This window comes from Homo sapiens, chromosome 1, assembly GCF_000001405.40.
Source record: "Homo sapiens chromosome 1, GRCh38.p14 Primary Assembly".
Lineage (NCBI taxonomy): Eukaryota > Metazoa > Chordata > Mammalia > Primates > Hominidae > Homo > Homo sapiens.
Window position 1 is genome coordinate 58,021,273 of NC_000001.11, and position 12,008 is coordinate 58,033,280.

At 39.4% G+C, this 12,008-nt stretch overlaps 1 protein-coding gene across 4 annotated transcripts in view, besides 2 other annotated features; it reads right to left on the bottom strand.

Moving 5' to 3' along the window:
* Nucleotides 1–12,008, bottom strand: part of DAB1 (DAB adaptor protein 1) — a 1,551,949-nt gene that overhangs the window by 1,026,495 nt on the left and 513,446 nt on the right. The window lies entirely within an intron of this gene.
* Nucleotides 9,799–10,376: an enhancer, noted in NCBI's record as "OCT4-NANOG-H3K27ac hESC enhancer chr1:58496743-58497320 (GRCh37/hg19 assembly coordinates)". NCBI's record gives its function as "activates a minimal SCP1, AML or CMV promoter by ChIP-STARR-seq in naive H9 embryonic stem cells {active_cell/tissue: H9 hESC(naive)}" and the evidence as "EXISTENCE:reporter gene assay evidence [ECO:0000049][PMID:30033119]".
* Nucleotides 10,725–11,019: a silencer, noted in NCBI's record as "tiled region #8485; HepG2 Repressive non-DNase unmatched - State 24:Quies, and K562 Repressive non-DNase unmatched - State 24:Quies". NCBI's record gives its function as "represses a minimal TATA promoter and a strong SV40 promoter by Sharpr-MPRA in HepG2 and K562 cells {active_cell/tissue: HepG2 | K562}" and the evidence as "EXISTENCE:reporter gene assay evidence [ECO:0000049][PMID:27701403]".

The following is a 12,008-nucleotide window of genomic DNA, read 5'->3' on the forward strand; positions in this document are numbered from 1 at the left end:
TGCGTATGACCTAAATCACCATTTAGTATGTGCCATCACTATTCTAAATGCTTATTATAGATTGACTCATTTAATTCTTAATAATAACTGTATAAGGTAGTTACTTCATTACCACTATTTTATGGATGAGGAAACTGAAGATTAAAGATTAAATAATTTGCTCAAATTCACATGGCTAGCAAATGGTAAAGCCTGGATAGAGCTCCAGATATTCCAAATAAAACTCCAGAAAGGGATGTTTCCAAAAGAAAATAAGGGAATTCCTACTAATAAGAATAGATGGTGGACCAATTGCTTACATGGAAAAATAAGAGGACTGTGAGCATATGAGTACCTACAGTTGGAAAAATGAGGCAAGTATGGAATATGGCCCCCAAAAACCAAAGCAGATGATGGTGACAAGAGGGCAGCTTGCATTGTCAGAGCAGAACTGGCCCAAGAGAATGGAAGTCTGGAGGTAAATGTAGATGTGGTATAGGGGAAAGATTAGAAAATTAGGTAAAATGAAAGTCTGAAGCAGTGGGTCTGAAAGGGCAACCGGGAATGATCTGGATCAATCCCAAGTGATAGGAAGCATCCAATTAAGTTGAGGTGGTGCGAATGTGATGAGAGGCTGCCATTGTGTTCAGAAGCAGAAGGGGGTTGGGAACCACAGACAGAGTAGGTGGCTTAAACTATCTTTTTCCTCTTATAAAGCTATTCCTGACCATCTGGGAAGGATGGCTTCTAAGGAGTTGGCAGAAGGCCTCATCTTGATAGAGAATTTAGGCTATTAGCTGCCCTCTCTGAGGAACCTAGACAGATCCCATGGGCAGACCCCTTAATAAAACCCTTCCTCAGAAGCCAAGTCTCTAACCTCAAAGCACCAGGTACCTTGAGAATCTGGCTGCTCTTAACTTTTCCCCAAAGCATTACTCCAGGGCTTTCCAAGACATTGAGTGCCAACCCATTGCACAAAGCTGACCTCCAAGCTTCATGAGCTGGTGAAATGACAACTGACAGGTATCAGAAGCTCCTCCTTAACTCTCAGTATGCAAGACAGAAATGCAAAGGCAATGCTGTGGGGATGCTAGAGAGATTCAAGTGAGGCCTCAGGAAGGTAAGTTCAAATCTGATCATTGGTCCCTATGGAAATTCAAGTCAGAAGGTTGCATCTTGCTTTGGCAGAGTAGACCTGAGTTTGAGTACAGATTTGCCTCCAGGAACTTCAGGCAAGTCCCTTTTCCACTGTGCACTTCAATAGAGGATGAGACTAAATGACCTCTAAATTCCCTGGAGTTTGCCTATTATTATTATCACTATTGATACCAGTGGACTGAAAGGCATGACTCACGGTATGTTTAAAACACATTTACTCCTTAATTTCCTGCTGTCCCCTTAAAATAAAATCAATTACAGTAAAAGCAAAATCCTTATCCTTTGTATGTTTTCATATTTATGAGTATTTCCTCTAAACTACGTAATATAATTTGGCACTGCACTTCGGAATTTCATTTCTATTACATCTTTGTATCTAGCCAAAGTTTTAATTTTAAGTTCCGGTTACTGTATTACCTTCATCATCATCACCGCCAACAATCCCATCATCATTCATTATTTATTTTTCTGAATAGCCTATGAGTTTGCTGGGAGTAAGATCCCTTTTGTCTTATTTTTGAATCCCTAAGAGCACTGAACACAATGCCTCACATGGCATAGATCCTCAATAAACATGGTGTGAAGGATTAATGATAATTCACATACTCAACATTTCAGTCCAACTAAACAACTTGAAAATTCTGTGAAGACACTGAGATCCTTTCCCCAAGTGCCCTTACACATGTTGTACCTTTTGCATGGCATTCTTTGCCCTTCTGTGCTCATTTATCGTGCTCTAAGATGCAGCTCAAATAATACAATAAAATCTTACAAAAAATTTAAAATAAACCTCTCCAATACCCCCAAATATAAAATAACAGCTCTAGTAAGGCCTTTCCAGAGCCTCTCTGGAAATATTTATCACCCCCAGCCCACAGCCAGAAACACACATCCCTCTTCTAATGCTTAAAGTAATGCATTATGTCTGGTTGTATAATTGTCTCTTCAACCAGATCAGGGACTCTGTGTTAAAATCACCTGGAAAGCTTTTAAAAAACTACTAGTGGCTGGCTGCATTCCAGATCAGAAGAATCAGGTTCTCTGGGGTGGGGTGTGGATATTGGTATTTTTAAATTCTCTTCAGTAATCTAATACGCAGACAGAGTTGGGAACCACTGTATAAAATGGTGAGGTACTAGAAGGCAAGAACTATGGTTTGTCTCTGCAAGTCTAGTTCTCAGCAAAGATTACCACCCAATAAATAATTGTCAAATGAATGAACTAGGAAGGATAATAGAAGTATAAGAATAATTTATGTAAGTCTCTTCCTACAAGTTTATTTTAAAATGTTGTGAGATAAACAACGATATATTAATCTAATGACTTCTGACTTATTAGACAATTTTGTTTAACCATATCAAACACATAAATTGCCTTGGACCCAGCATCTAACTAAGCAGTTTTCCCAGAGGTGGTAAACGTGGTCCTAAAAGAAATCTAGATGGATCCTGCAAAAATATGAACATTAAGGCAGTTCATTAGCTTAGCCTCTAAGTCCAAAAGCTGGACCTCCAAAGCCCTATCATGTAATGTAGATATATTTCAAGGTTGTTATCTCACAACTGTCAAACCCAGCCTCTTCTTGCTTTCTGCTGCGTAATTTATCCTTGAGAGTGGCATGAGAGTTTTTTATTAATTTGTTTGTCAAGCAACACTCTCAGCTCTCTCGTAATTATGTTTCCTGTTAGTAGCATTAAGTACAAACATAGCTCTTGATTTTCACTTGTTAATTTGTCCCTCTCCTACATTTAGATATAGCAATAGATATAGTCATAAGATCAGAAAATTGCTGATGGTCAGGAGAGGGCAACATAAAGGCCTGTGTATCTTTGCCAGTAATTAATATGCAATGAACTAATGCCATACAGTGGAAAGATCACAAAAGAAGCTCGGGGTTTGAGTTGGCCTGAGTCATCTACACTGTGTCTTTGGACAATTAGCTTACCTCTTTGCAGCTTGAACAACCCATCTCAAAAATGAAAGATAATGAAATCTATTTCAAATGCTTAGCAGAGTTATTGTGTGCATAAAATAAGACAACAGATAAGAAAAATACTTAGTAAAATACAAACAACTATGCTAACATGCTTCTCTCATTCAGTTGCAAACATTCTATACACCCACTGTGTCATGGGCTACAGTAATATAGATAATGATGATTCTTATCACCATTGTTATCATAAGGATTATGCTGTTATAATGAAGTCCTGGTTATCTTGTGATGGTTAATTTTATGTGTCAACTTGGCCACAAGGTGCCCAAACATTTGGTCAAACATTATTCTGGGTGTGTCTGTGAGGGTGTTTCTGGATGATATTAACATTTGAATTGGTAGACAGTAAAGTAAATTGCCTTTTCTAATGTGTGTGGGCCTCATCCAATCAGTTGAAGACCTGAACAGAACAAAAAGGCTGAGTAAGTAGGAATTTCTTTCTGCCTGACTGCCTTCACCTGAGGCATCATTTTTTATTTCTGTCTTTGGACTCGAACTGGAACTAAATCAGCAGCTATCTTGGGTACCCAACCTGCTGCCTCAGATCTTGGGACTTGTCAGCCTCCATAATTGCATGAGTCAATTCCTTATAACAAGTCTATCTACCATCTATCTCTCCACCTATCTGGCCATTTATCTATCTATTTGTCCTTCTCTCTCTCCCCTTTCCCTCCTCCTTCCTTCCCTCACTCCCTTTTTCTCTCTTTCACACACTCACACACACACACACACCCTACTGTTTCTGTTTCTCTGGAGAACCCCTTATACATCTCTAGCAACATAAACATTCTTTGGGGAGGCTTCAGAAATAACTCTCTAAATACAATATCTTATGTTGCTGGAAGTGTTTTCGTGGTCATTAGAATCAGCTGGCCAGCTTTAAAAACATCAATTCCCAGCCCTGAGAGATTAGAGCTTCTAAATCAGTACCTCAAGATGGCAGAACCTGGAAATCTGGATTTTAACAGGGTTCCTAGTAATTCAACTTATTAGCCATGTTTAGGAACCACCCAACTAAGTGGTTTGGTTGAGAAAACTAGAAACCAAAGATCTGTCTGATCTCTAAACTTTCATCCCTTCAGCTTCATAGATTTTGTTTCTTTCTCTTGTCTCCTATTAAATGTAGATGAGCTATAAATATAATATTATATATATATAGAGAGAGAGCCTTTCATATATTTTATTTCTTTCTCTTGTCTCCTATTAAATGTAGATGAGTTATAAATATAATATTATATATATATGTGTGTATATATATATATATATATATATATATATATATATGGCCTTTAATCATAAATTTAGAGTAAAGTTATTTTGAATTCAACCCTGATCATATTCCTCCTCTGTCTTTGGGGTCCCCCTGTTAACTATCAATAAAATCCAATTTCCTTAAGATAGCATCCAAGTCCCTCTAAACTATGACCCCTGGATAAGTCTCCAGCCTCATCTCTCATCACATTCATTCATATACATCCTAAATCCAACTCCCCAGTGAGCGCTTGTTCCAGTTTCTGACCCTGTGCATTGTTCTTGTTCTCACCTCCACCTGGAGGGCCATGTCACCCCAAACACTCATCCTTCAAGTTTTAACTAAAACGGCATTTTACTCATGCAACTTCTCTAATAGCTCTCTAATATATTGCTTTATATCACAGCCATTTGTGTGCTTGTCTCCCTCAAGAATAGGGACTTCTCAAAAATCAAGCTACATGCTGCAAGTGCTTGTACCTAGAGCTCTGAATCTGACACAAAGTAAGGTTCATACGCATTCAATGAATTGATGCAGGCTGATATTTCCTACACAGTTACCAAAAGGAAAAAATTTAAAAGTTGGACATTTGGTTACAAACATGGAAAGAATATCGCAAGAAGGCATAGAGTGTAGGCTGAGCAGCACAGTGCATTGTTTAGAAGCAAGAGGTTTCAATCTAGGCTCCATTTCCATCTCTCCTACTTATTAATGATAAGAGGGTCACATTATTAAGACTTCAGTATCTCCATTTTTTCATCCCTGAGTGAGGATGGTGATGGTATCAATCTCATAAGGCTGTTATGGGGATTAACTATGCTAAGAACTTAGTACATCATCGGGATGCATCATATAAACTATTGAATAAGCTATACTTGTTATTGGTGCTCCCTTATTATTTTATTAATGTTTAACCCAGTGAGTATAGTCCTAGAAATAGAAGACTCCTGATTTATGGGTGCAAAGAAAAGTGGAAGAATCCTCAAGCTAACTTATCTTGTGGGCCATTTCCATTTCTGAAGGGCATCCATCTCAGAGGAAGAAAAAGCCAGAGTTATGCCTTTGTCTTTCATGGGTTGCTCCTTTCCCTGATGCAGTCCCTTAAGGAATATAGATCCATGGGAGATTTGTGTATATGCTCTGTTTCCCAATAGTTAAAGCAACTCATTTGTCACCACTAAGCATTCATTCTTTTTCTGGAGGTCAATTTGCCAGGTGCCTGCACCTGTCCAGGGAAAGCCTGACAGACCAGGGACAGTTGACCTGACAGCTATTGCACATGAGCCTAATCTTCTCTTTGACTCTGTGGTAGAAGGACAAATGGACCAAATCTTGGCCCAGGCCTGGAAACTCTAAAACCACCCTTGGAATTTTGAAAAGTGATCTTAAATACCATTAGATAAAAACCACTGCCCTGTGACAAGGCTCAGGCCCAGATCAGTAGAAATAACTTATAATAAAGTACAGAGCTGGGGTTGCCAAAGACCATGATGTCTATGACAAAGACAGTCCTTTTCTGGGAGAAATGTGAAAAAGGAAGACAATATTATGAGGTTTTTATAAAAGCAAAGTGGATTGGATTTTTTAAATGTATATAGAGACAGGGTCTCACTTTATTGACCAGGCTGGTCTCAAACTCCTGGCTTCAAGGGATCTCTTGCCTCAGCCTCCCAAAGTGCTGGGATTACAGGCATGAGCATGCCCAGCCTTGATTGGATTTTTTAAAATCTGAGGTTAAGTTCTTCATACTTTTATAATATTAAAGTTAATTTTCTTTATAACATAATAATGATAGTCAGTGGCTGACTTGTTTCTTTAGTGTCCTCACCTAGATAAATAAAAGTTGACATACTTTCTGTCCTTCTGCACAATTTTGGGGTGTTGGTTATTTTGCTAGTCTATGAAATTCTCAAAAGTTTGGGGCTCTTTGATATTAGGGTTGAGGAAAGAGGCTCTAGAGCCAGAAAGACCTGGGTTGCCTGCTTTGTTCTTCTTCCAATTTGTGTGACTTTGAGCTATTTATTTAACTTCTCGGAGTCTCTAAAATGGCAACAACAATAATAATTTCTATCTTACAGGATCATTGCATGATGAAAAAAAGATACCAGATGGCATGAGGTTAGCACTGGGCCTGACAAAAAAATCATAATAATGGGTGTTTAAATAGGTTTTCCAGAATTCAGCCATATAGATGAAACCTAGAAATAAGGAGCAAATGCAGAAAGAATTAAGCATTTAATTCCCCTATGTGGAATTCCTCCTAGATATAGCCTGCATGCTTTGAGGACTGCTGGGTTTAGATTCACACAAGTCTAAGTTTATATGCTACTAACTCAGGCCATTTTCTGGTCTAATAAATTTAAATAAGGTAGCTCATTTCTCTGAGCTTCTGTTTCCTTATCTGTAGAATATAATTCCCATCATAGAACATCAATACACTAGGTATTTTACACACATCCTCACTTAATATATGCAGCTATCCTACAAGATAGGCACAGTTGATTATTATCTGCAGTAGCTATGTTCTATAAAGTTTCACAAATACCGAACCATTGCTCCTAGGGGAAACACAGGGTCATGTTCCTGCAAGGCTCTGGTCAAAACATTTTCATCAACTGATCAATACGTAACATTGTTTTATGTGTTTCTGTTTAAAGACATCTTACTTCATATATTTTGTTGATTCATTAACATTGAACTCATAGCCAGCAGCACTATAACTCATGCCTGAATGAAGCTTATCTAACTCATGTATTTTCTCCATAAAGCATACCCCATGTGTTTTATGAAAAATTGGAGTGTCTTGTCTTAGGAACACCAGGCAGCTTCAGTACTATGTCTAGCGGCCATGTTAAACAGTGAAATTACCAACAAAAATCACAAAAAAATGCTAAACCTATGACCACCAAAAGGATGCTTGTTCATAGTAAGAGGGCTCAAACAAGAAGGCAGAGAACATCACTTTGTACAACCTCAGCTGAGAACACACATGTCAGGTGACTCAAAGTTTTTGCCATTTTGTGTATGTCTGTCGATGACCATAAAAGCACTATGAGTACTGATTTTGGGGTTACAAATAAATTTTAGTGAGTAGTCAAATTTGCAAATGTGGAATCTGCAAATAATAAGAATCAACTGTACTATTCTCTTCACAGACGAGGAATCTGAGGCTGAAAGAATTTATGTCATACAACTGCATAGTGGTTAAGTTGAGTTGAAACTGGGTAGATATGTCTCCATCCAAAGACCCATGTTATTTCTATTATTAACACAGTACCCCCTCCATGTCTGGTTATCCTAGGAAACAGAAGTGGTATGAACGGCTACCTCACAGAAAGATGGTGAGGATCAAATTAAGCATCTTGAAGGTGCTTTTTAAACCACAGAGCATCATACAAACATAAAGGGTTGTTATAAGAAGGTTCAATTACAGTGAGGTTATACTATCTAACACTAAGACCAACTATAATGAACTCCCTCATTCTCCCACAGTAGAAAGAGACCAAGTTAAAAATCAGACCTTGAGAGGTTAGTGTCTGGGTAGCCCTTATCCCAGCAAGCAACGACAAGCTAGTGATTCAGGCTAATTCAATGCAGCCTCAGTGGGATTGCTCTTTCAGGGTTCTGAGAGCAAAAGAAGTACTTACAGTATATTTTAGTTAAAAGATCAAAATGCAGGTTGGATGCACTAAAAAAATGCTTCTGATGTCAAGTCCACTTACAGTTGCTGTTACAAAAATCTGCCACCCAGGGCCACAAAAAAATCAACACAGCAGCATTATCCAGCAGTGCGGATATTGACGAACAGGGGTGTTGTCTCAAAAACAATCTTGAAGTTATAGCTGTACCTTAAAAGGGGAGGGGGCTGGGAGCCCACAGGCACCATGTTAATTACAAAAGAGGCCAGACTCATCCAACATAGAATTTGAAGAATTAACCATCTCTGATAAAAAGAATCAGTAAAGACAGAAAGGACTTAAAAATGTTCACAGACTTTAACTGACTAATGACACTTCAAGAATGCTAATAAAATGATCAGATGAGGAAAAATATTGATGCATAAAGTTGTTCATAATGTAGCTATTTCCCAATTTTAGCTTCAATAAATAATGGGTATTTGCTTTAAATATTATGCTATAGCCATACAATAAAAAAGTAAGTGTAAATAAAAATTATTTTAAATAATGTTTAATAATATTGGAAAATAGTCAAAGTGTAATCTTAGTAAAAAAATAAATAAATAAACACAGGATACAAAAAGTATGAATCGTCCAGGTGCAGTGGCTCATGACTATAATCCTGGGACTTTGGGAGGCTGAGACGGGCAGATCACTTGAGTCCAGGAGTTCGAGACCAACCTGGCCAACAAGGTGAAACCCCGTCTCTACTAAAAATACAAAAATTAGCCAGGTGTTGTGGCAGGTGCCTGTAATCCCAGCTACTCGGGAGGCTGAGGCAGGGAGAATTGCTTGAACCTGGGAGGCAGAGGTTGCAGTGAGCCGAGATCGCACCACCACACTCCAGCCTGGGTGACAGAGTGAGACTCCATCTCTAAAAAAATAAATAAATAAAAGTATGAATCAAACTGTGTGCATATTACTAAAAACAAGCAAAGAAACAAAAATACTGAAAAGAAATGTGTTAAATATTAACAATGATTGATTTCTTGTTTGGGAAATTTTGAGTAATTTGTATTTATTTTTTATTTCCAAGGTTTCCACAACAAGCATATACTATTATTTTTAAGGTGAGGAGGCAAACAGTACAATGAAAGTACAATCCAATTTGCTATCAAGCTCCACACTCAAAAGAGTGCTTTGATGAACAGAGCCACAGATTAAACAAGATTTAGCCTGTTCATCTAACCGGTCACTGATCTGTAAAAATATCAGATGTTTTCAGATTTTTCAAATCACTTATTATTAAGCAACTAGCTGGAGTGCAGCCAACTTAACTACACAAAGAACATGAGATGGCCCCATCCTCAGAAAAGCCCCTGGGGTGGGGCCCGGGTTTTCCTCTATTCACCTTTGTACTGCCAGAGCCTTGTGCCTGCAAGAGAGCAGGAGTTCAATAAAAACGTATTGAAAGAGTGAACACATATGGAAATAGGCTGCCTCACAATCACAGGTCAGCAGACATCAGCCTTTCATTCATACATACAATCATTCAAAAATGTATGAACCACTTACTATACATACATATGACTAGGCATGGACGGCCTTCAAGACATGCAATAACTGGTGATGGTCCTAATACATAAACAAATGAAGGACTTTATACAATAAGAAAGGTGTGGATAAAATGTTAAGGGAGTTCCTAAGCAGGAAGAACTTCTCCAGGTACGAAGTTCTTCTCCAGGTAGGAAGTTCAAAGATGTCTTCCTGGATGGAGGGGGGATTTGAGCTGGGTTTTGAAGGTTGAGCACAATTTGGGCATGAGTGAACAAAGTGGAGAGAAGGTATCACAAACTGATACATGAGCTAATGACATGAGCTAAGTCCTGAATGTGAATATGTATGTGGCTTACAGAACAAAAAAATGCTTCAATTTGGCCAGAGCACGGAGACAGAAGGGAAGCAGGGAGGCTGAATGGAAGCATGGAGGCAAGGCTGAAGTAATGCATTGGGACCGGGTTATGTGGGGAGAGTTTTGAATGTTAAGATTTGCGTTCTTCAGTAGATGAAGCAGAACTGTGGAAAGTCTTTGAGTGGGAAAGTGATCTGTTCAGAGAAATCTTTAAGAAGATGTTTGGGCAGTAATAGGTAAAACGGATGGGAAAAAAGAGAGGCAGGACCTGAAATAAGAATCTTCAGTGAACAGGCATGAACGTTTAACCGGAGAAGCAGCTGGAAACTCAGCTCTTAGTTTCTTCCATCGCCAGGATGGCTTCAGCCCTCAGCTGCCAGATTTCCTTTGAGATGCTAAGGACCAACTATTACACAAATGCTTAAACCCTGGGCTCAGCCACCAGCCCCTGTATCCCTTCTCCCTCTCAGAGGAAGCTGAATTGCTTTGCAAATATATGCAGATACATGCGAATAACAAAGCTATTAACATGTGCCCTAAGCCTCAAAGGGAAAGGTTTGCTTTGATCAAAGCTCATAATGGGATATATCCAAGGGGCAGAAAAACAATATCCTGCTCAGCCCAAACTGAGCTGAGGAAGGTTTAGACTCTGGAGCAGAAAGCCCTGCCTTAGTAACTGCTATTCAGCCAAATACTCAAGTGCACGGTGTTTCCCTTCTATACCCTCATTTCCTAAGGTTGAAATTGTAAAAAAAAAAATCTTCCCTTTGCTCCATTTTATCACAGCTGCAAGTACTGATAGAAACGTGTGTGTGTGTGTGTGTGTGTGTGTGTGTGTGTGTGTGTGTGTGTGTGTTTAATCTGACCTTCTAAACTCTGCTTCTCAAAGTGTGGTCTATGGACAAGCAGTATCTGCATCATCTGGGAGAGGGCTAGGAATGCAGAACCTCCAGCCAGACCCTAGTGCTAGTGAGTTGGAATCTGCATTTTAACAAGACGCCAGGTGAGCAATGCATATGCACATTATAATTTGAGGAGCACCAATCTAAATGACCTTAGCATCCATAATTAGGATTTCTTAAGGGCCAGGACCATGTCTTCTTACTCACCTTCATAATCCTCAGGCACAGTGTATGGCACATAACAGGTAATAAAAATAAGCCTTTGTTTCCTGTTCTGTAAATTGAGATAATAGCTATCTCAAAAGCTGTTGCATGGATTGAATGGAATATCAAATGTAAAGCATTCAAGCACAATGCCTGGCACTTGGGTGGGGAGTGCCCAAAGTTTTTGAATTCCCCATCAAAACCAATTGTTGATCTGTGTACAAATAACCCCACATGCCATGTTGAGTGTTTGGTATTTTATAAATGTCTATCCCATCTAATCCCCATGTCAGCCAGCAGGAGTTGTCATCTGTGTTTCACGAGCCAGGAAACTAGGATCCAGAGAGGTTAAAGTGCAAAGTCCTAAAGCAGTAGGCAGAGCTGGACTCTAAACCATGCCCCTTCCAATCCACCCTTCACTGTGTAGCCACCTGGCCCACAATGCACATGCCTAGCTAAAAAGTTATCTTTGTGTCCACACTACCTTCAGGGTGAAATCCAAGCTCTTTAGCACAACTTGGCATGGTGGGCATAAACTGGCAGGGTTGATAGGACAATTTTACAAAAGACTCAGGGAGCCTCTCATAGCCTGGCCCCTGCCTACTTCTCTGCCCTCAGCTCCCTCTTCCTGATCTGATCTTTCTCCTGTTTCAGGTCACATTCATCAGTCCAAAGTCATCAGGACATTTCACAACTCCCTGAATTCACTCTGGTCCCTTTCTCTGGAATGGGCGTGCCTGGTGCCTTTGTGTTGGATAGCTTTATTTGTCCCTCCAGAACCACCTTCACCCTTCTCCATTCTGCCCTGTGCTCCTGGAGGCTGTTCTGAATGGGATACAATATGGGTTCCCAGGTCCTCTGCTCTCCAGATGGATTTGTCAGGGGATTAAAGAGAAAGTGGACAGTGAGATCAGAGTATTTATTCCCTCAAGTCCTTCCTACAAAGTTTGCACAAGCTGGCTGTATTCCTCTACAGAAGATCCTTCTGTCT